Below are 24,926 nucleotides of genomic sequence, written 5' to 3'. Positions count from 1 at the left end.
GACTCCAATGAACAAGAAGCCCCTAATTCAAACAGTGCCACTAACACCAAAACCTGTAAAGTGGTCCAGAGAGACCCTGGTCATGTCTGTAACTTTCCTTTTTAAAGCTCTCGTGAAGTTAATGAATGAAAAAATTGCTAATGCAAAGATGGAAATTAATAAAAACAAAAGCGTGCTTCATATTGCAGGGTGACCACCTCTAATCCTACCAGTGATCCTGTGGCTGTCCCTGTAACTTCCTTTGGCAACACCATGCTTTGAGAAGCTGTGGGGAAGGCTGGCCAGGGAGAGAGCCTCACCCCCCAATTCTGCCAGCTGATCCCCCAGAGGGCTGCAAGGCTCCTGATTTACCCAGACCTCTGGAGTGGCTGAGGCTGGGCTCTGGGGTTGGATGGTTCTCACCAAGAGGCCTGGGACATCTGCTCTGTGCTAAGCTCCGAGGCAGACCACAGAGGAGATAATGACTAATCGGACCTTCACATACATTGTACATGCCTTTTCTGAACTGAAAAAGAGAAGAACAAACAAGATAAAAATATTGAAAAAAAAGAAGAATCAAATGTGTAGAAAATGCAAGGTCATTAGAACTGCCCAGGGCTTCATTCAGGCAAAGATCTTGAGGGTCTGGCCAGGGACCTGCTGAGTAAATCTAGCTCTGGTTCCCCTCCCACAGATTCCCTGCGCCTCCTCCAACTGCATAACCAAATCTCCCCACCTCCCAACTTTCCTTGAGCTATTCTGCTGTTTTCTTCACTTTAGTTTTCTCACTGTAACCCACACATGGTATAAGGTTGAACGAAGACATTTATTTGTAAAATCAATTCTCAATGGAGGAGAGATTGTATCCATAGAAAGTAAACCAGTGATCGTTCAGAGGGCCACATGCACGCATTAGTGAAACCAAGGGAAAAACCAAAAAAACAGCACTGCTGCGGACGACCCGCGTGGCTACTAATCCTGCCAACAGAAAAGCAAAATGTCCTTTCCGCTTGAGAACGCGGATGCACCAAGATGTCCTGTGAGAAGGCAATTTGGTCTGACATCCACGATGAAGTGATCAGGGAACAAGTGGGGGAGCGTTTTTTTCTATTCCGTGTGGCCTGCTTGTTTCCCGCAGAAACTGGCTGACCGCTTCCGTTGTCCTCCCGCCTCCAGTGGGAGGGAGGTGGTGTCAAATCCCTGGCTTTCTCACATGCCCATCCTTATGCTCTGAATGATCTGAAAGATAGCTGAAAAGAGGAAAACACCACAGCTCAGACACCAGACTGCACACAGCTGGAAACCCAGCCCACAGTGAGCCCGGCTTCTGCAGACCCCTGGGCCCTGACGTGTTAGCTCACAGCTGATTAGATATTTCCTAACAAGGAGTTAAGTTAACAAGAGGTCAGTGAACTTCTTTAAAAAGGCAGCCTCGCTCAGTCGGCTGATGGATGCCTCAGGGATTTATAGATAACTCCTGCTAATTCCACCAGCAGTTAAGGCCAGAAATCCCTCAGGCACTGAGAAGAGATTTGGCCCCCTTCCCCAGCAAAGTTCTGGGGCTGCCTGGGAGAGGGATATGGGCTTTCGTGCAGAAACTGCACTCATTAAACAGGTCAGTGAGTCTGCCTTTTCAAAATGGCTGTGACCTGTAAAACAATGAGCCCTGTGCTGGGAAGGCCGACCAGGTGCTCGGAGCAGCCCACGGGGCCCGGCCTCTGTCTGCCTAGAACCCTCCATGCGTGAGTATCTTCCAGCTGCTTGGAACTCTCTGAAAGGCGGCTGTCTCTTATGGAGAGCGGCACTTATTTATTCAGGGCTCAACCTTTAATAACTGGAGTTGTCAAGGGGGTGGGTAGCTTGTAAGCCCACAGAGAACTCCTGGGACCCTTGCCCATGTGGATGAGAGCTGGTTACATAGCTTCAGCCTGCTTCCAGCTATTGGGTTTCAAATGTGTCCCAGGAGCGGAAGATCCCAACTTCTTTTTCACATCTTCCCCAGTGAGCAACCGTGGTCAGTGTTGACAAAGATGATGGTAATGATAAGAGTAACTACCATGTATTGAATGGCTTTTTTTTTTTTTTTTTGAAGGAGGGTGGGTATCATCTCATCTAACCATGTGTAAAAACAGAATAAACACTGAGCTCTCAGGGGTCTTACCCCTTCTCGCCTTCTTAAAGTCATCCTGGAATACATCCAGGATCCACGGTAAAACAGAGTTATCCAGAACCCTAGGAAACCAGCCATTCAAGTTTCATCATCTGGCATCAATGAGCACATCCTATGTGTCAGACACTGCGCTTCAAGGATAGAAAGAGAAATGATGGACAGGGCCTTGGGGAATCGTTCTTGGACAGCTGGGTTTTAAGAGTAGACAAACATGAATGCATTTTTTGGCTTTTTTTCCCCGTAAAAACACTGTACCCATCATCACTACCTTTCTAAATTGGAGATACCAACATATTTCAATGCTAACTTTTCATGAGTGTTCAGTGTCACCATAATGAAAACCAGTAACTGATGAGACGTGCTGTGATCTCATTACAGAGGAGGCTGCGTGTGATCTGACACTGAAATGCTTCTGGTCAGCTGCACTTCTGGGCTCCCATTTCTGCTTCTGATCATTTTTTGGGTCTCTTTCTTCTCATCTCTGGTCACATCTCTTGTATTACTACACCAATCTGCAGTGGGTCCTGTACTATTATTTTGTTGCCGTAGACTAAGCTGAAAACAGAAACTGTTAGAATTACGAGTCAAATCAGAGTCAATCAGCTCCATGTGAGTGTCAGGGACTCATCTGTAGATATGGTGAAGGTGTTGGTCCAACAACTTGTGATATTTAATTCTGGATGTGCTCAGATATTTTCTTAGCTAAGTTTGGGTTCTTGGGTGGGTCTTTTTTTTTTTTTTTTTTTTTGAGACGGAGTCTTCCTCTGTCGCCCAGGTTGGAGTGCAGTGGTGCGATCTCGGCTCACTGCAAGCTCCGCCTCCCCGGTTCACGCCATTCTCCTGCCTCAGGCTCCCGAGTAGCTGGGACTACAGGTGCCCGCTACCATGCCCGGCTAATTTTTTGTATTTTTAGTAGAGACGGGATTTCACCGTGTTAGCCAGAATGGTCTCGATCTCCTGACCTCGTGATCCACCCACCTCAGCCTCCCAAAGTCCTGGGATTATAGGCGTGAGCCACCGTGCCCGGCCTTGGGTGGGTCTTAACAGGAGCAGTTGGAAGAGAAAGTACCCTACAACAATTTATAAGCTTGCAGAAATATCTGATGTTTCTTTCCTCCCCACCAAGGCTCACAAGGAGTAAAAATTAAATAAACATTCTGTATTCTGGCTCAATAGGAATGTCAGGAGGCAGCTGTATATTCAACATTAGGAAAAAAAAGATTACTTCTACCATGCCTCAGACTTTGTTCTTGTGATCAGGGAACTATCGCTAATCCTGACGAACAAGTTGACTTTAGAGCAGAAAGTTAGGATCAGATGGAATTGGGTTGAATATCAGCTCTTTGCTGAAAAGCTGTGTGACTGGACAAATAATTAATCTCTTAGAGGCTGCTTCCTGTTCTGTAAAATGAGGATCATGGCCTTTGCAGGGCTGTCACAGGGATTAAACCATATGACATATAGGAAGGGTCCTCACACATGGAGGACTCACTGCCTGGTAGCTACTGCTATCATCACTGTTACTATGACTACAACAACTGCTGCTTCTCCCTGTCCCAGCATGCAGACCAGTGCTTAGCACTATCTGCCAGCCTACAAAGCTGTGAACTTTGGGAAATTACTACACAGTTCTGAGCCCTGCTTTCTCTACCTATAAAACTGTGGATAATAGGTACCTCAAAGGATGGCAAGGAATAAATACGATGACATAAGTAGATGCTCAAAAATATTACTTCTCGCTTACTCTTGCCCTTAGACAAAAACTTATCAGCAGGATGTAAGTCAACAAATAGGAAACCATCTGTGTCTTAGTCCATGTAGCCCCCATATTAAGTTAATTCATAACTTCAAAAGTTCGAGGTAATAATAAGAAACCATGCAATTCTTTTTGAAGGAACTGTTACAAATCTCTTTAAAGAATCTAAGACAGTCCAGGTGCGGTGGCTCATGCCTGTAATCTCAGCACTTTGGGAGGCCAAGGTGGGCAGATCATGAGGTCAAGAGATTGAGACCATCCTGGCCAACATGGTGAAATCCCGTCTCCACTAAAAATACAAAAATTAGCTGGGTGTGGTAGTGCCAGCTACTTGGGAGGCTGAGGCAGGAGAATCGCTTGAACCTGGGAGGTGGAGGTTGCAGTGAGCCGAGATTGCGCCACTGCACTCCAGCCTGGGTGACAGAGCAAGACTCCGTCTCAAAAAAAATAAATAAATAAAAATAATAGAAAGAATCTAAGATAAAGTTTGCACGTCTCAGAACAGCGACACTGATATTAAAACAACTTACCTAGTTCTTTGAGTTTGCTTTAAAAACTGAGGATCATTCCTGATCATAATTGAATCCATGAATTAACATATAAGAGTCCAGCGATCCTTAACATGTTCACAGATGAACCTTCTTGGAGACACTACTTTGAATAAAGTCTATTTTTTTAAGTTCACCATTTACCTCCACAAGATAACAGAGAGATGACTGTGTTTATTATTTCTTTTTCAGTTGTATCATTGTCTTTAAGAAAACTTACACATTCTAATTATATTAACTGTAATTCTGTGTACCTGCCAATACTGACCTGCAGAGTAACCTCAGCCTTCCAAATGCTGACTTTCTGAGGCGGCAAATGGGAAGGGAGCCAGCAGTGAGTTCAAAAGAGGGAAAGGAAGCGGGGAGTCTAGACCCTGACAAGTTAATAACTTAACAGTGGGTGAACAAAGCTGAGAAAACAGCAGAACAGGCTGCAGGAGAGGAACTGTGGGCAGGCGAGACAGCGGGGAGGAGAGATGCCAAGAAAGGGAGGGACAGCAGGCGTTCCAGGGCAGGCGATCAGGGCGTGGGCAGGTCCCAGAGGTTCAGAAAAGTCCAGGGGAGAGCAGGAGCTACCAGACCCACGAAGCCTCTGCATCCTCCTACCTGTGTCAAGGATCCTGGCCCTTGGTAACCTTAGATGATACCATTTCTCTTTTTTCAGCACCCCTTTCAACAAAGTCTTTAGGCTTTAACATGCTAGGAGCACTCCCACTGAAAAATCAAATACACCAGAGCTATCTGCCTGACTCCACATCTCCATCCACAGGGCCCTCTCTTCCTCTTCACAACCATTTCTAAAGAGCTGTCTATGCTCACTTTCTGCACTCTCTTACCTGCTATTCTCATGTCAGTCCACCTCATTTTATCTTCTGCTCTCTTCCCTCCATTGAATATCTTTTGCTAAAGTCACAAATGACTTTTGAGTCGCTTAGTGTAACAGGCATTCTTCCACCTTCTTTTGCCTTACCCCCTGCTCACCCCCGCTGGGCACTTCCTGCTTGAAACTCTCTTCCCTTGGCCTCTGTGAAACCATGGTCTTCTAGGTTCTAATTTTCCTCCTTCTCTTGGATCTTTCCTCTAAACTTGTTTTAGAGGAAACAATCCACTTGACCATTAAACATAAGCGCTGACATTCTGCAATGAACGTCACTGGCTTTCTTCTCCTTACGTTCTTTCTTCTTAGGCAATGCCTCCCAGCCCACAGTTTGAATTGCCACCTAGCTGTTGATGATGCACAAATGTGTATCTCCAGCCCTGACTTCTCTGAGCTCCAGCACACCTTCCACTATCTAGTTGATATCTACAGCTGGGTGGCTCAGAGGTACCTCGGACTCAACAGGACCTTCTCATGATCTCGTCCCACTGCTAAAACTGGCATCATTATCTTCCATCTTGGATGTAGACTCAAAACACCACAGTCCTTCCTGACACCTCCAATTGATAACCAAGACCTGTGGATTTTACCTGGGAATCTTGTGATTATGCACCCTTCTTTCCATTCCTCAGAAGCCACCCTAGTCCAAGTTACCATCATCCTCCCCAAGACCCCAGTGAGGCCCTCCCAGTGCTCGACTCTTGCTCTTCTTCCATCCTTTCTCCATACTGTAGCTAGAATTATCCTTTCAATAAAAGCAAATAATATATTGTCACTCCCGTGTTTACTGCACATCAAAAGCTTCCCGTTGCCCAATCCCTGATGAGGCCTTCATGACCTGCACATCATGGTCCCTGTCCAGACCTGTCAGACTCACCTTGTATCACTCTTCTCCTTGCTTGGGGTACTCCCTCATGTTTTCAAAAGCTCCCTGCTCTCCTGCTCTCACCACAGGGCTTTTTTTTTTTTTTTTTGAGACAGAGTCTCACTCTGTCACCAGCCTAGAGAGCAGTGGCACGATCTCGGCTTACTGCAACCTCTGTCTTCCGGGTTCAAGCGATTCTCCAGCCTTAGCCTCCTGAGTAGCTGGGACTACAGGAGCGCACCACCATGCCCAGCTAATTTTTTTTGTATTTTTAATAGAGACGGGGTTTCACTATGTTGGCCAGGATGGTGTCAATCTCTTGATCTCACGATCCACCCGCCTCGGCCTCCCAAAGTGCTGGGATTTACAGGAGTGAGACCACAGGGCTTTTACACATGCCATTCTTTCTGTCTGAAATACTTCTACCCCACCCTATTCCCTAGTTTCCTTCATCAACCAAAATTTAATGTCTTCAGAGAAGCCTTCTTTGATCACCTGGAGCAGAGGTTCTCAGACTTGAGCATGCATCACAGTCTCTTGGGGACAGGTTAAAACACAAATGCTGGACACCTTCCCCCCAAACCCTGGAGTTAAGGGATGGAGAATCTGTGTTTCTAACAAGTTCACAGGAGATGTTGAGATGCCGGTCCAGGGACCACACTTTGAGAACCACTTACCTGAGAGTACACCAGTCCTTTGCATTGTATGATTTCATAGCCCCATGTGCCTCTCCTTTACATTGTTTCATGGCTGAAATTGTACAGTTTCATGGCTGAATTGAAAGTGTTTTGGTGTGATTACTTGATTAACTCATCTTTCTTTGCCATTAGACTATAAGCTCCAGGATAACAGCGACCAGGTATGGCACAAAGTAGGTCCTCTGTAAATATTATTGAATTACTGAAAAGTGAACGATTGCAAAGAGCACAGAGGAAATTACATTTTAAAAACCTCAAATGACTACTTTGCAAACCCAAAGAGTCAGCATCAAATGGCTGCCTTTAGATCCAAATGTCTCTAAAGCTCAGTCTTCGAAGGGGAAGTACAAGACTATAAACTCCTAAAGGCCTGATAATGGGCCATCCCAACCGACTCTCACCCTGGGGACTGACCCTCCCCAGCTAAGAGGGAGTGCCAGAAGGACACAGGGATGACATAACAAGTGGGTCCCATAGGAAAGTGTCAGAAAGCTGGAACCCTGCCAGGTAACAGGAGGCTTCCTAAAGCCACTTTTATTGACAATAAATTGATGATAAAAGAGATCAAGGGAGTTGCTGAGAAGAGAGATTAAGAGAGGCCGGAAGAAGAATATCCTTTAGGAGAAGAAGACAACCTAGAAATCATACAGTTTTGCTTATTTTTCATTAAAGAAAATGAAAATGATGAAAGAGCTGGTAGAAAGCAAAGTACAGGCCCTCTGAGAAACAAGCTGAAATGTTAGGAGACGAGACATTGCAAAGTGGATCACTAAGTTCTCTAAAAGAATCAGCACAAAGAAAGTCAAAAGCAAGATGCCATTTTCTGGTGGCTTCTCTAGAGATGGAGAAGAGGGAAAAAAGAGAGATGCCGGAGACAGGCAGGGCAAGGAGGCGCTATTAAAACCCAGATGTTATTAGCAAAGAATGTAAAGCTTTCTATCCGCATTAAAATAACAGAAAGATGCTTCTGAGAGAGAGCCTCTACACAATCCCAAATGCCCCCAGGGCACAAAGGAGGCTGCAGGTCACCTTAAGGGAGCTGATGGCTGATGAGATGTCTTCAGGCTGTGCATCTCAGATCCCGAGGATGAACTCCAGAGCAGATGAATGGCCTCAGTCTTTCCTTCAGGGCCAGCCAGTTCCTTTAAACATCTCAGTTGCCGGTCTTGGGGGTGGGGTGACTCCCTCTGGATGTTACAACTTTGAGAAAGTTCTGGCAGTCTCCAGGAGAGGCCAATTTATGTGGTTGACCTGCAAATATGGCGAATTCAAGTCTGTCCTGGAGCAAGTGTCCAGGGCGGGTGGGTGGGGACACCGGTGGCCCAACCAAGAGGCAGCCTGTGGCTGGGTCAAGTCTTTCTCCATCTGGGAGCAAGACCCAGGATGGCTGCACATCAGGAACCTCTGGAAAACACACTTTTTCTGGCAGGAAAAATAGGGGATGTTTTAGCAGGAGCTTTTTTCAATACACAGTCATATGCTAAAGGCCTAAATTGGTGGAAAACTTTTGCTCCATACAACTTCTAGGGAAACAGTAAGAGGGAATGCAGGGTAATGGAAAACAGATGGGTTTTAGAGTCTGAAAGAAGTAGGTTAGGGGACTATCTCTCTCACTTTTTAGCTATGGGACATTGGCCAAATTCCTCTATGAGCCTCAGTTTCGTGATTTGGAAAAATGAGTGTAATGGCATCTTTGCAGGGACTGTGTGACCAGAGGAGGAGATGTATGTGTAGAGCCTGGCATTACAAGTAGTCAGTCCTCAATAAATGGTAGCCAAAACAGTTGTATGAACAGATCTTTCTCACCCTCATGGGCTAGTTTATAAAGAATTCTTTCTAGACTTAGAGAGGTTCTAGCTATCCCTGCAGAGGTGACACCACTGACTCTCTGGTTTACAAACCCTATCCTTTATCTATCCAGGGGGGCTGCTGGTCTCGGCTCATGGAGGTTCCTCAATATCTCAGTGCTATGCTCACCCACTACAAATTTTCTCACCATCAAAAAGCAAAGCTACGAAAATGGGCAAAATTTTATTTCTTCCCTCTTAAGCATTCAGAGCTTTAGTAAGGACCTTCCCAGGGAGGTGGAGAGTTGGGAAGGCAGGGTGAGCAAGACCATAAACATAATTACAAGAACAGCAAACACTTATAAAGCCAATACTGTCACTCCACTAAACATTCCACATGCATTGTCTCAGTTAATCCTCAGGATTAATAGTCCTGAGAGTCTCAGGAGTTAGGAACCAGTACCATCCTCTTTTAAGAAGAGAAGAACTGAGTCTTAGAGTCGGTGTAAGTATCTTAGACAAGGCTACATAGCTAGTAGGTGGTTTCAAATACACAAAGTCTGGCCCTGAAGTTGTAGCTCTTAGCAACCATGTTAACTTCCTCCCTATGGCATGTGCACATGCTAATGTGGTGGCTTTCACCCAATACGCCACAAAATACAGACCTTCCTCAAATTTTGTGTCCCCAAAAGATTTCAGAGAGCACCTAACATTTCACAAAGAAACGTTTCTTAGTTGTTGCAAAAGGCTTCATTCTGGCTCCTCAACCTTTGGGCTCAAAGACATTTTGCCACAAAACTTGTGGCCACACAGGGAGTGGGAGGAGAGAGCACTGAAAAGAGTGTCTCTTTGGCCTCCCATATGTCCCTGGCATGTGTATGACTTGTACTTTTCTTCTTCCTCACCATCCTTAACAGAACAGCCAGTCCTGGGGAAAGTTTGGGTGTGGCCCTTCCAGAAATGGAGAGGCCTCCAGCACATTCATACAGGGAGAGACCTGGACCATCCAAAACACAAGGCTGGGAGAATGGGAGGATTCAGGCCCTGCCAAGGACATCTCAGAGAATCACTTCTTCACATCTGTTCTGAAAAGGCTGTCCTGAAAAAGGACCTGTCTGTGACATGATCTCACTCCCCTCCCGCAACCCGCAGCAGGCAGAGGCCCTGGAGAATACAGGGGGAAAGTGCCGCCTGTTAACTGACAGACGAAAGGAATGTCCCTGCACAGAAATGGCAGAGCGACTCCCAACGGATGGTGCCTGATAAACCTCACAGGCTCTTTGTTGAAAGGCATTAACTCTGCAATAACAGAGGCCAGCCCTGGAGCCAGGCACAATTTCCTATTTGATGGGCAAAGAGAGTCTAGATGTGTGCTCCCCTCTGGCGATGAGAAAGTCATAATATCCAGCAACATAGGGAGATATACTGTACATACACACAGACATGCAAGCATGCATATGCATGCATATACATACACATTCATGAACACACTAACACATACACATTCACAAATACACATACATGGAAACAAACACACACACAAAAAAACCCACATATACAAACACACACACACAAATGCAAACAGAAACATACACAGACTTCACTTCAACCAGAACAGCTGCTGTTTCATTTATTTCCCTCTAAGATTTGAACAAAGTTCTGCAGCTTAAAAAAAAAAAAAGACCAAAAACCACTAGTCTAGATTTTTTTTAAACACATTTTTTTCTGCTTATAAAAGTAATATATGCTGATTGACAAATTTGGAAACTATAGGAAACAGTGAAGAAAATAACAGTCACTAGTTAATCCTGTTACCCCAGAGGTTTCCCTTTGATGGGAATAAACGTTTGTCAGTTTCAAGAATAGCCAGGCTTTGGTCACCATTAAAATTCTCATAATCTCTAATTAGGAAATGAATATCAGGGTTGGCCAGAGAAAGAGTAGAGAAATAAAATTGAAATTAGGAATACATGAGGGAGAAATAGTCTGAGGGATGGAACTGGGGCATGGCTGGTATTTAAGAGTTTCCCTCTGAGAGTCAAAGGATGATGGGAATTAGATGGTGACTCCATTGATGCTGCCTGAAATTATCACTGAGACATCAGGACAGAGAGAAATACAACCGTATTGCAAAGAGTGGCATCTCAGATTGCTGCATCCTGTCAATGTAGGGTATCACACCCAGAGCTCAGAAAAGGTAAATAATACTGTGAGACCACAAGAAACATGTATAGGCTGACTCTAAATAAAATTATCCAAACAGGTAGCATATTAAGGAAAAGACCTCATTTCACCAAGTCCAGGAGGCATTCTGGTCAAAGAGGAAAGCTGGAAATGCCGAAGACAGCTGTCTTGTGAATACCGTGGCAATAACCTTATAAAAAGTTTAGGCTAAGGACAGCAAAGATGAGAACGTGGCCCTGCCAGCCATATTGTGTTCAGGACAGACATTACCAATCAACTGCAGCCCACTTTCCCACTAAGCATTGGTATAGCCCGGGAGTCCTTCTCAGTAAGGCTCATACAAGAGCTGGGGACAAAAGGAAAAGAAAACGCCCAGAGGAGAGGGCTCTGGGCACAAACAGCAGTGACTAGGTCCATGAATGGGCTGGGGAAGCATGTCAAGTCTGCAAGTGCCTTGAGAAGATAGCAGTTGACCTATCTGTGTGACAGTATCTTTGTGGGGAACGGTCTCAGACAGACATTCCAGCTAATGCTTGCCTCTGAGTCTTGAGATAAAAGCAAGCATTCTTCAGAAGCTTTCAAACAGCTCTCCAAAGAGGCAGGTTTCAAAACCCGGGACTGGCAGAGCCAGGATGAGCTGCTTATCTGGAAAGAGGCCCCACTGCCTGCAGAAATGGAAGATAATACTTGTATTAAAAGGGGAGAGAAAAAAAGGGCAAAGTCTCTTATGAGGGCACTGAAATCCCTTGGCCTTCGATGTGGATCTGGGTCCTAGTAGATCAAGTAGAGGCAAATCCAGCCAGTTAAACAGACTCAAGCAAAACAAAATCCCAGGCTAAGGTTTGACAAGAAGTTTCTGGCCTATTTGGGTTAATAATCTGAGCAGACCCATAACAGGTATTGATTAAGAAATGGATTTTTGATTTCTTAAATAATCTATATATTAACAAAGCCGTCTGGGTGTGGTGGCTCACGCCTGTAATCCAGCACTTTGGGAGGCTGAGGAGGGCCGATCACTTGAGGCCAGGAGTTTGAGACCAGCCTCAACAACAGGGTGAAACCCTGTCTCTACTAAAAATACAAAAATTAGCTGGGCATGGTGGCGCATGCCTGTAATCCCAGCTACTTGGGAAGCTGAGACAGGAGAATCACTTGAACCCAGGAGGTGGAGGCTGCAGTGAGCTAAGATGGTGCCAATGCACTCCAGCCTGGGCAACAGTGAGACTGTCTCAAAAAAGAAAAAAAACACTGGTTATCAAATTAAACAAAATGAAACAAGATACAGCCCTGAGATGTTCTAATTGGATAATACCGTGTCTCAGAAGAATATACTATTCCCAAAGCTTTTGTATCTCATAAAGATAACTTTTACAGCAAAAGAGTGGTGGATTGGGGTTGCTTTAAGGAAATGAAACTCACATTTTTTTTTTCCTGACATTCAAATTAAAGGACAAACTGCTGTTCATTGATTGTGGTCTGCATATTGGTGTTCCTTCTCCCTCTGTGGGGAAGACTTGACGCTTTATCACATGGGAAAACAGCCTCATGCATCCAAAGTGTTATCACTTACACTGCTCCCACTCATCCGTGGAGTGAAGAGGCAGGGCTCATGGCTTGCTGATAGATTGAGACCAGTGTGAGAGGTCGAGTCTGCAACTGAACATGCAGCCGGGAAGGATGAAAGGCATGTGGGAGTTGAAGCACCCCACAGCACAACCGATGGTCCCGTGGTGCCCCTGTTTCCCATGAGGGCTACAAGGACAGAGGTGGTGGTGACTGTAGCTGCAGGCTTTGGGCTTGCTATGGGCCTGTACTTAGATCCCCAGAGCTGCTCAATGCCAGGACACCTTGGGAGGGCTGCTCATTATCCCCATTTTCTTGATAAGGGAATCAATACCAAGAGTAAATACCTTGTCCAAGGTCATTCAGCTGACAAAAGTGAATCTAGGCTCAAAACTGACATCTGGCAGATCCTGAAACTATCCTCCCTTCAGAGGCCTCCTATTCTGAGTGCCAGTTGGTCAGTTTTCAAAGCAGTCCCTTGCCTAAGACAACTTTTGCAATCATGGAAAGTAGAAATTTGCTTATTCTGAAAAGGATGTATTTAGATAACCTCCCCAAACTCCCTCTCACCAGGACAATGTATTAGAGGTTTCCACCAAGTGCCTAAGACAGAACAGGGCTTGGGTGCGCTCAGATCTGGGGGGCGTGGGGCAGCCCCGGGAGGTCTGTTGCTCCCATCTGGCTTTGCAGTGAGGGGTGGCATTCCCTGAGTGCGTGTTTATGCCAGGGGTCTCTGGGTGCCTGGACTGTGTCCCCTCACTACTCTCCCAGTCCTCATTCCTTCCTTTTCATTATCTTGCTCTTACTAGGATGGCAGGCATGAAAGGCACATGCAGAGGAGGAGGAAGCCACAGGAGAGAAGCTGAGAAGCAGGAGGCAAGTGATGGCAGTGACCCACAACTGTCTATAAGAAAGGGGTCCTGTAGACTTTTTACAGGCTTGTTAACCTGTTTTTCCACATAAAACAGAGAAAGGGTGACCAATAAGTGAGCACATACTTAAATGCCAGCTTCTTACCAGTCCTAACTCTTTCCCAGAAGACAGCCAGAAAAACAGATAAAATGTGCATTCATTACTGTCTGCCTGACCTGAATATTTATTTACCCTAGGTACACTGGCACTATTTCTAAAAAGAGCACTTTGCCCAACCAATCACCAATGAGAAAAGTGGGTTAATAGAGTAAGGTAATGAAAGCAAGTGAGACTTTCAAGAGACTCACATCAATGATCAACATCTTTATTAATATTAGAAGATTTCGCCTTTTTCCTTAGCATCTATATAAAAACATACAAAATAAGAGTAACCAACCACATGAATGCAAAGAAAGGCCATATGACCTCCAAGGTCCCACTGGAACTTGGTGAAATGGAACTTGAGCCTGGCATAGGGGTGTATCTTGTTCAAAGGAGAGCTAATAGAAGGGAATAGGAAAAGGGTCTATCTGTCTGCAGAGATGTGGAGATCCTACAAGACACTCCAGTGCATTTGGCCTGAGTGTTGCAGGCCAGGGCAGGTGTGCAGGTGCAGGTGTGCGTGCTGCAAACAGGCAGATGTGAGATGTAGGGGATTTTCCTATTTCAGATTACAAAGCTGGAACAGAGGTGAGACAGACCACCGATGAGAGCTTCAACAATCCCAGCACCTACCAGAAAGCTAATTACCTAAAGCAAAGCAGCTGACAAATGGGCTAGACTTGAGGACCGCACATTCGTTTAAATGTAGAGAAAAGAAGGGTAGGCACTTATGGCCTGTGACCCTAAAACAGGATAAACTCTAGAGGGAATAGTCGGTTCTGCAAGAAGAAATGAATCGTGACTAATTCCAGAGAGGTGGCAACAGGGACGGATCTAAAGGAGCTATTGTGTTTCCCATGACATGTTCTGTTTAGAAAAGGACAAGTACAAAGATAGAAGGAAGGGCACAGTACCAAGGACAAGCTGAGAAGAGTGACACATTTCTGTGAGAACAGTGCCCGACTTGAGCTGAGGCTTGCAAAAAAATTGCTAAAGTTGGCAAGAAAAAAAAAAGGTGGTGGTGAATTATTTTTAGTTATGATTAAAAAAGAGATGAGGCCCATTGCTTAGGGATCACGATAGCATGTTAATAGAAGACAGAGAAAGTAAGATGGCTCAACTCTCATTTCATGTCTAACCTCTCCATAAAAGCAAAATGGCTTTATAACTAGAAAGCTTTAAGTCAGCATCATTGAAAGAGCCCTGGGTGGCCGAGCGCATTGGCTCATGCCTGTAATCCCAGCACTTTGGGAGGCCAAGGTGGGCGGATCATGAGGTCAAGAGATCAAGACCATTCTGGCCAACATGGTGAAACCCCGTCACTACTAAAAAAAAAAAAAAAAAATTAGCTGGGCATGGTGGTGCGTGCTTGCAGTTCCAGCTACTCAGGAGGCTGAGGCAGGAGAATCGCTTGAACCTGGGAGGTGGAGGTTGCCGTGGGCCGAGATTGCGCCACTGCACTCCAGCCTGTCAATAGAACGAGACTCTGTCTCAAAAAAAAAAAAACAAAAAAAACGCAAACCTCCAGAGAGGTGGAGCTAACATACTCAATCCCTAGGAAACTGCTGGAGACCAGGAGAGTTCTAAAAGATGCTTGTTAGCAAATGTCCCAATTTACCCAAGAGGGAAAGATACAGGTCCTGCTGCATGGGCTGGTAAGCCAGGCAAAAGTTTAGGCCATATAATAGTTTTTTAAACCCTCCAAAAAGGAAGAGATGGGTTTTGAGAGTTGGCATGGGTTTGAGAAAAATAAGCCACGCCAAATGACTCTACTGGCTTTTTCCCTTATAGGCTGCCTAAGGGGGCAGACTGGAGAAGGCCACAGTTACTGTGTATCTTGAAGCCTATATATATCTTTATCTACTTAGACCCTTGACAATACAGGTGGCATGGTCACGGGGCTCAGGGATGCCTGAGAGTAGGCTTTGGCCATTCTGAGCACCTTATATTCTTGAGCCCAGCACATTCTCTGAAGCCACCATGCCACCGCCACATAGTGTTCCCATGCAGAATCACCTTCCTCACACCCTTTGTCTGGCTGTTTGTTCTTCAAGACTCCGCTCAAACAGCACCTCCCCTTGGAAACTTTCTCTTCTGCTGAGTATGATTTAGAAGTTCCTTATCCATGCCAGCCAAGCACCCTGTAAACTCTGCTGTCACTATCGCAGTGCGCTTTCCCTGGGCTGCAACTGACAGCTTCCTTATCTGCCTCTCCCAATGCCTGCAAGTACCCAAACAGGATTGTATTTCCAAAGCCCGGCACAGTGCCAGGCACAGAGGGGACCCTCAAGACATGATGATTGCTTGAATGAGTTTTGCTTAGAGGCTCAAAGTCAACCTGAAAGAGGTTGTCTCTGATTGTGTTCTGTGGGTTTCTCCAAGTCTAGACTTTTATCAGTGACTTGGAAGAATAATATATTTTCAGGGACCATAACACTGGGAAAAAAGGGTAAGTAGATCAGAGGCTTAAAGTTCAAGGTCTGACAATCTACAGACTGGTCATACAGCCTGAAAACATAGCTAACTTTTTTGTACAGGTTTATTTTCTTGATTTTCCTGTGGTATGATAAAGGCATAGTTTTGTTTGTTTTTATTTTGTTCTTTTTTTTTTTTTTTTTTTTTTGAGACGGAGTCTCGCTCTGTCGCCCAGGCTGGAGTGCAGTGGCACAATCTCGGCTCACTGCAAGCTCCACCTCCCTGGTTCACGCCATTCTCCTGCCTCAGCCTCCTAAGTAGCTGGGACTACAGGCACCTGCCACCAGGTCCGGCTAATTTTTTTGTATTTTTAGTAGAGACGGGGCTTCATCGTGTTAGCCAGGATGGTCTTATCTCCTGACCTCATGATCCGCCCGCCTCGGCCTCCCAAATGCTGGGATTACAGGCGTGAGCCACCGCGCCCAGCCTAAAATTTTAATAGAAGTAATCGTTCTTCTTTGAGAATAAAAAAAAAAGTCATAAAGTTTTATATTAGGTCTCAAAAAAGGTCAACTAGATATCTACAGTATGAGGAATATCTGGCTTTATCCATCCATCCATCCATCCATCCATCCATCCATCCATCCATCCATCCTAAGCACTAACTATGTGCTAAATACTAAACTAGGATCTACAAATTTAATGAAAAATAAACACTGTCTCCCCTGAGCTTATATCCTACTGGAGGGAAATGAACCTAAGTAAGTAAACTAAATAACTGCAACTGCTGATGAGGGTCATGAGTAAAATAAAATAATATGTGATGGAGACAGGAGAGACTTGGGATAAAGGGGTATGTAGATGTGTTTCCGGGGTTGCAGGAAGTTTATCTGAGGAAGAGCTGGGTGGCATCTGGCTGGCCATCAGCTAGACGTGAGTCAAGGATGTGCTGCAACTGTTAAAAAGTAACTGCAAGCCTGGGTCACATTAATAGAGGCAGAGTGGTGAGCAAAATCAAGGGCAGTGACAATCCTACTGCCTCTGTGGTGGTCACACTGCTTCTAGACCACCTTCTGCAGTTGCAAATGCTATACTTTTTTTTTGAGACGCAGTCTCGCTCAGTTGCCCAGGAAGGAGTACAGTGGCACGATCTCGGCTCACTGCAAGCTCCACCTCTGCAGTTCAAGTGATTCTCCTGCCTCAGCCTCCTGAGTAGCTGGGACTACAGGCGCGTGCCACCATGTCCAGCTCATTTTTTGTATTTTTAGTAGAGACAGGGTTTCACCATGTTGGCCAGGATGGTCTCGAACTCCAGACCTTGTGATCCTCCCCACCTCGGCCTCCCAAAGTGCTGGGATTACAGGCGTGAGCCACTGCGCCTGGCTTTTTTTTTTTTTTTTTTTTTTGAGACGGAGTTTCACTCTTGTTGCCCAGGCTGGAGTGCAATGGCGCGATCTCTGGCTCATGGCAACCTCTGCCTTCTGGGTTCAAGTGATTCTCCTGCCTCAGTCTCCCAAGTAGCTGGGATTACAGGCATGCGCTGCCAAATGCTACCCTTTAAGAAAGTCATTGAGCAGATCCAGAAGAGGAGTCTAGAAACCACATCTTATGAGGCAAGGTCGAGAGATTTAGGGAAGCTTAGTTTGCAGAAGGAGCCACCAGGCAGTCATCTTTAAAATATCTGATGATTCAAGGTGCTTAGAGGAGAACGAGTCCATTCTGTGTTACCCTAGGAGTTCAAATCTGAACAACTGAGAAGACAGCATAGTGTAATTCAAAACAGGAGAGACATTTCTAATAGAATTCCAGCAGACATGGAATAGGCTTTTTGAAGAAGTATTCAAATAGGGATTGGGTAAACAGCTGTTTAAAAGATGTCCTTAAAGATACTTCTTTGGGAATAGAGTAGAACTGTCTTTCTTTGAGTGTAAGATTTTCTCATCTTGGAATGCCAAATCATCTTTAAAATATTTGAGCCACAAGCAACAATAATGCCAAGTACTTTGGATCCTTCCTTCCTCCTAAGAGTTTTTGCTTCTTTGGAAGAGTGGTCTCTTGAAGATAAAAGGAACTGATCCATCTTAAATTTTTTTTTTAATTTTCATGATTTTAGGTTTGAATGCATGATTCATCTTTAGTCATGGGCTTCTCTTGTCATTGGGGCAGAGGCTGTCTTGCTGGGAGGCCTAAGCCTGAGCAGGAAGATGTGGACCTTCTGCCTCCCTGCCCTCAGTAACAGTGAGATGCTGGAGGGTGGGAATCCCTCAAGGCATGCTGTGTAGTTAGAAGAAGTGACCTCCACTCACAAGGATTTCTGAGACCCAACATATGGGGATCAGGAACCATGTCAAGGCTAGTTCAGCATGTAACTAGAAACAATGGCACGATGCTTCTGCTCATCTTCCCTGCATTTGTGTGTATGTGTGTATCTGCATGTGTGTAAGTAAAGCTCTCAACTTGCCACCTTACAGTATCAGGTGACCCATACCTTAAGGCTTGGGTCAAAGGCTCAGTTGTATCTAGGAAGTTGTATCTAGGAGCTCTGCAGAACTTTCTCATAAGGCATAAGGCCTCTCCCTTTCTCGGAATGTGGATTTATCACAGGCACACAGGTGTTTCACCTTCTGTTCTAATGCCCTTTTAAGGCTATGTCTGCACAAAAAGACTTTACTGAACTCTACAGTGTATACAGCCACTTTAACTACTCAGTGTAATCATTTTATGATTAGGATTTGATAGTGTATTAATTGTGTCTCTACCTATATTTGGAATAGAAACTAAATCAAAACCCATTAAGATTAAGGCTTAAGGCAGTGATAAACTTGAATCCCATACCAGTATGTTTTTCATCTATTTGCTTTGTGAAGAAAACGTGTGTTTTTCAAAGGCCAGTGGAGAACATGGGATATAAGTTCAGTGAAACACCCATACCTGAGCCACAGACAACAAAAACAAACAGTGCCAACAGCCATGGTCCCACAGGATATTTCTCCTCTTGCGGCCTCTAAAAGGGAATGGGAAAAAGTAAGATTAGGTTCATTGACTCAATAAACAATTATTTGAGTATCACTAGGCATTGTGCTAGGTGCTGGGGATTCTACTGCGAATGAGACAGACTTGGTTTCAATCCCTCAGTGGACAGATATAGATGAATGAAGTCCATTAAAAGGATTGAGACAGGTTTGTAAAAATTCATCCATAACCTTATTAACATCCCTGTAACTCAGTGAACTTGGTGGTCTTAAATATTCTGGGGACAGATATGGTATGAATACATAAACCAATATGGCGATTTAGGAACCAAAATGATATTAATAATAACTTTCCATCTGCTGAGTAATGCTCTGTGCCAGGCACTACACTAGGCAGTCTGCATTCATTATTTCTGGCAAGTATTATTATTTCCATTTTGGAGTTGAGAAACTGAGGCTCAAAGTTTGTTAACTTGAGCAAGAGCTGGGATTCAAATTTAGGTCTGCCTCATTATAAAGCCTGAGTATTTTCCATTAACAGATTCAATATTTAGTTTTTGCATCTGTGAATTCCAAGCAGGATCAGAGAGCACAGACATTTTCTGAAAACCTTTTACATAACCCCAAATTAGGAAGTCAGTACAGTGGAAATCCTTGCAACAACAGAAGCACCACAGCAATTGTGAATGGTTATGAGTGAAGCAGCATTTTGTAATAAAGCTCCTAAGCCTTAATAAAGCTTGCACTTGGGAGAAGTCTCTGAATTCTCTGGGAAGCAGAAGGGGACTGTCAAAACTGCATGAATGAAGCCCTACAGACCTCCTGCTTTTTCAAACCAAAAGCACAGACATAATAAGATCTTCCCTCCACAACACCTCCAGGTCTATGTGCAGGTAGGGCTTGGTCCTTAAACCCAAATCAGTCAGAACAACAAATATTTTCTGAGAGATGCATCAGAAAAGAAGTGAATTTCTCAAATAGAATGGGAGAGTGAAAAAAAAAACAACAACAAAGAACTCACTAATTATTTTCTGATTAGCTTGAAAAATAGGCTGCATTCAACACACGTTAAAGAATTCACATGCAAAACACACAAAGAAAAACGTGTTGGTAGAGTGGAATGTTCACAAGTATTGATTTGTGGTTGATCTCATAAAACCCAATTCCAGATTTCAATTAAATGTTGTTGACATTTAAACATTGTATTCAACATTGTAAAATATGGGCTAAAAGGTATGTTCATATCCATACAAATACCACAGCTTGACATTCAGACTGAAGGTATGTAATAGTGTTTCAAAAAAAACGAGTGGTGCTATCATCAAGGATGTAAGTTTTTGAAATGTTGAACAAGTTTTAGTAATGTTTCTAACAAAAACTTCTTTAAAAAAGGATAATCTTCCTTTGATTTTCACTGTAGTTGCTTTCCTAGAAAATTTATCATATATTAAAACTGTAAAATCTATGATGTGTTGTATTTATATGTAAAATTAAGTTCTAGGCTAATGTAAATGTAAACTGGCTTCTCATCTAAAAAAGGAATTTATTTTATCATAGATAAGGCAACAGTTCTTTAGTTTTCAGCTTACCAAAGAGCCCTTCTCTTTTACCTCACTTGGGTCCACTCGTCACTTGTATGGCCACATACTTTTTCTTGATAGCATGTGTCACAGTTTGTAGGTCTATATTTATTCTTGTGATAATTAATGTGTTTAATATCTGTCTCTCTATGAGACTACAGACCCCACAAGGGCAGGGACTATGTCTTGTTCATGTAGTAATATATAGAAATGCCTGCCACAGAACTTAAACATAGGAGATAATAAACGTTCATCAAAGAACAAATAAACATACAAGTTTCATTAAATAAGATTTCTTAGGTTAGGCAGAGTAAACACAGGTTCTAGGAAGGATATTGTCTTTTTAGTAATAATTCCTAATTGGTGTAGGATTATCCCTGTATCTCTCCTACATGAGAAATATGGATTAAAGTGTCAACGGCAGGTAGACTTTGACTAAGGATTAAGACATTCACTTCTCTGTCCTTGACTAAGCCTGTATCTACCACCACTTACATGCCGGCAAGTCACACTGCAAAGGAATCGGTGGCTGCTCTTAATCAGACGAGGACAAGATCAGTCTTAAATAATTGCATAAGATAACTGTGCCATTTTTTGGCCCTTAAGGCCAGGCCAAGTTCAGATCCGGTAAACAACATTCATAAAGCTACCTGAACAAAGTGTGACATTCGCCCTTCCCACCCTCTTCCACCACCTTCCCAGGAACTTGTCACAGTTGCCCAGAAACCAGTTCTGTTGCTGTTGTGCCACTGATGCTATATAAAAAAATTCATTTTATCTCTATTTCCAGCAAAGCTAATAAGTGAATTCAGAAGCCTGTAATGAATTACTTGCCCAGGACAGATACCAAATAGAGTCCTTTATTTTTCATATGCAGAAAAAACAGATGATCAGCATGTAGAGCTTGGACCATATAACACAAAAACCTTTTGGATGACATTCTCCATGGAATCAACATGATTTGGGGACTTTGGCTGATCATAGTACCCATATATCTTTTTTTTGACAGCTTTGGGTGACTACTTTTTAGAAGGGGTGCCCAGCACAATCCCATTGGGACAATTCACATAAACCTTACTCTATGGCTGGAAAAGGTGGGGAAAACTAGTAGTGATTCTGCAAATGACATGGTTTACTCCAAACATGAGTTTGCTACTTCTTGAGGCTCCAAAAATGTCAGGGAATGGCTTTCCCTGTGATTAAGATACCCGTAGGGTAACTCAGAACTCTGAAATTTAAATTCCCCCTTCATTCTGGAGAAGTTACTACTGTATAATCACAAAATGATTATTCCATTTCTCTGTTTCCTTTTTTTTTTTAGACGGAGTCTTGCTCTGTCACCCAGACTGGAGTGCGGTGGCGTGATCTCGGCTGACTGCAACCTCTGCCTCCCGGGTTCAAGCCATTCTCATGCCTCAGCCTCCTGAGTAGCTGGGATTACAGGCGCCCACCACCATGCCTGGCTAATTTTTGTATTTTTAGTAGATACGGGGTTGTGCCATGTTGGCCAGGCTGGTTTCGAACTCCTGACCTCAGGTGATCCATCCGCCTTGGCCTCCGAAAGTGCTGAGATTACAGAAAGTGCTGAGCCACCACGCCCGGCCTTGTTTCTTGGATTAGTCTGCTATCTGGGAGAATAATATTAATTTATCCGTAAGCTATTAGCTAATAATAAAATACTGAAGCATCTGCATACAATTAAAGAAGTTTATTTCTGAACAATTAGTCTGAATTTTCAGTTGGAATCTATACTTGTTCCCATTTAATGAATTTCATCCTGAATAGTGATCTTTTGCAAGTTACTTTTAACAAAGTATAATCATATTTGACTTGTAATTGAGAACATGAGATTTAGGATTTATCAAGTTTCTCTTTGAAAGAAAATTTCATTTTTCTATTGGATAGTAATCTATTTACAATAACATTAACCAAAATCCCCCCAACCAATGCAAAGCAAACATTGATTGTGGCTTGGTCTGGAAACCTTTCATTACAAATTTAGCTGGGCCATTTAAAAACTCTTATAGGTGCAAGGCACTATGAGAGTTTCTTGGGGGCCACCCCATGACATATCAGAGCATATTAAAATGAACTCATACTGTACATTAAATATAATTTAAATGTAGCTCTGAACATTGAGTTGAATGGCAGGTGACTGGTACCTTTTCTAGGTATTTAAACAATGTTTTCCCAATTTTTCCATTTTCTTCTTTTATTTTGGAGCTAATAATTTTTGTTTTGGGTCCCAAACATTTTCTAGTTTTCTTGAAGAACTTGAGGTGGCAGACACTGAGTCTACAGAACCTAATAGATACAACAGCCTTAGAAATTAGTTCTTGTTTTCTTCTTACTTTTGTAATCAGATAAGCTGTCAACTGAGATCTGACAACTGAACTCCGGTTTTTTAGTTCATGAAAAAGAGCCACATGACTAGTTATTTTTCACTGTGTCAGTTAGCAGGTCTGATCCCTTGAGAAGGAAGAATTGATCTCTTAGGGATATAAAACCCTGCATGCCTTAACATCAATTATAAGTTGCTTCTCAATGTCAACCCGGGCAGCCATTTTTTTTTCCTCAGTAAAAATAGGGAAAACATAAATCAATGTGACAAAATGGTTCCAATTTGATGGCATCTTGGCATTTTGCTGCCTAATCACAACTGAGTGATATAATTCCTAAATGAGAGAATTTTAAGGATTACTTAGGTCTTGTGTATAAAGCTCTGAGTAGAGTTGAGTTATGCTTAGACTTGTGTATAAAGCTCTGAGTAGAGTTGAGTTTGGTCCTAGAGTTTCTCTGCCGTAATACTGCTTGGTTTTGCAAGAATTCTGGTGTGATGATTACAGATCTAGCTTTTTGCTTAGTTAATCAAACCAATATAGTTTCTTTGGCTAAAAGGAATTGATTCATCAAATCTGCAAGCTTTCCCAGCCAAACTCCAGGCTTCAGCTGGATTTCCACTTAACTGTACGGGGTAACAGATCCCAGGCGCCTTTGCTCATATACTTGGAGACCAACTTCGCCAAACTACCCATGCGACTCATGCCTCTGAATGTCCAAAGTCACAGGCCTCGCATTTTCTGTTGATGATAATCTGCTTTGCTAAAAGAAACTCCTGAGTGTAAGGCACAGGTTTTACTTAAAAGTCCAGTTGCAAAGCTTGAATTTACAGTTCTAGGGACACCGAATGCCTGACAATAAACTGGTCTCTAAAGTTATACCATGAGAATGAGTCTGAATTCACCAAGTGGAAAGAATAGGAATGCTGCCCTTAGACTTTAGCCTAGGGGCTGAGGGAGGTCTCGCTGGAAGAGAGGTAAAAGAGAAAAAAGAGGCTGGAGGGAATGTGGGTCCAAATCTCACTCCCCATTTTGAGCTCTTTCCACACCTCCAGTGAAACCGTCACAAAGGGGCTGGAAAGAAAACTTGATCCTGGTGCAAGTCTGTTGGGGAGGGAAGACAGGTGGAGTCCGGGAGGAGATGACAAGTGGCCTCCATTTAGCCATTGATTCATTCATTCATTCAACAAACGTTCTAGAACATACTAGGTTCCAGGCTCTGTGTCATGCAACGTTCTAGAACATACTAGGTTCCAGGCTCTGTGTCATGCAGTTGACTTAACTGGCCCCTAAGGATGAGGCTTTCCGTCTTTCTCCGGGACAAGGCCCAGCTGTCTCCCGGGCAGGGGGACAGGGGGTGCGGGTCGGGGAGGAGGGCTCCTCTGCGCCTCCCTGGTAGCCCAGGTAGCCACTCCCAGAGGGGCCACGACCAACCAGGGCCCTCTCCGCCCACGAGGACGCCAAGCAGACCGCGCCGCCCTGAACCCAGCTCTCAGCCCCCACTCTGCAGGACCCCGCAGAAGGGGCGGGCCGGGAGCCGGGAGGCCGGACCCTGCGCCGCTACCCGCCCGGCCCCGCCCCCACCTTCCGCCCCACCCCGCCGGGCTGCAGGGCTCTGCCTGGCCGGCGCCGACCCCGCCTTACCAGGGTTTTGGCTACGTTCCCCCTCTGGGTGATGTTTTTGCTGTGCTTCTCGTTAGCCATCCGGATCCGCTGTTTGGCCACCATGGCTTGTGCGCTCTGAAATGCTCCCACCTGCAAGGATTCCCCCTGCGTTAGCTCCTGCGACAGGGCCGAGCGCGTCCCGCCGAGGCCCCCGCGGCCCACCCGGGCGCTGCAGGTGGCAAGGCGTGGCCCCGAGCCCTGCGCACCCCGCTCCCCGAGCCCCGGCTAGCCGACTCCAGAGAGAGGCCGCAGCCCGGACGGAAGTAATCTCTCATCTCAGGAAACCCTTTCCGACTTCCTCGCCATCCTTCCGGTCCCCGCAGCCACCTACCCCGCGCGGCCACCGAGGCAGGCGCGACCGCACGTCCTCCCGCGCCGAGCGGCCGGAGCGCAGCGCGCAGAGCCGGGGCCCTGCAGTGTCGCGGTCCTGTAGCCGAATGCTGCGGGGCCGAAGGTTCGGGCGACCACGGCGTTTGTGAGCGCGTCGGGGACGGGGACGCGGCCCCTCCTGTGT

General features: G+C 44.7%; 1 protein-coding gene across 4 annotated transcripts; it reads right to left on the bottom strand.

The window, feature by feature from the left end:
• Positions 1–786: 786 nt before the first annotated feature.
• Positions 787–24,854, bottom strand: SERP2 (stress associated endoplasmic reticulum protein family member 2). Of its 4 annotated transcripts, XR_007063679.1 has the most exons (5): positions 24,744–24,854; positions 24,392–24,502; positions 18,788–18,860; positions 7,923–8,144; positions 4,314–7,075 (listed from the first exon to the last, which is right to left on the bottom strand). XR_007063679.1 is itself a non-coding variant. In NM_001346980.2 (4 exons), the coding sequence occupies exons 2-4, from the start codon at positions 24,473–24,475 to the stop codon at positions 1,189–1,191; spliced, it is 198 nt and encodes a 65-aa protein (NP_001333909.1). In that variant the 5' UTR covers positions 24,476–24,502; positions 24,744–24,854; the 3' UTR covers positions 787–1,188. The 4 variants fall into 4 exon arrangements, 2 of the variants coding, with proteins under 2 accessions (NP_001333909.1, NP_001010897.1); NR_144535.2 differs by lacking the exons at positions 4,314–7,075; positions 24,744–24,854 and adding an exon at positions 787–1,229 and having other exon boundaries at positions 24,392–24,677; NM_001346980.2 differs by lacking the exons at positions 4,314–7,075; positions 7,923–8,144 and adding an exon at positions 787–1,229.
• Between the last annotated feature and the right edge of the window lie 72 nt (positions 24,855–24,926).

This window comes from Homo sapiens, chromosome 13 (assembly GCF_000001405.40).
Source record: "Homo sapiens chromosome 13, GRCh38.p14 Primary Assembly".
Classification (NCBI taxonomy): Eukaryota; Metazoa; Chordata; class Mammalia; order Primates; family Hominidae; genus Homo; species Homo sapiens.
Note: the sequence above shows the minus strand (reverse complement) of the source record. Positions and strands in the feature narration are given on the sequence as shown.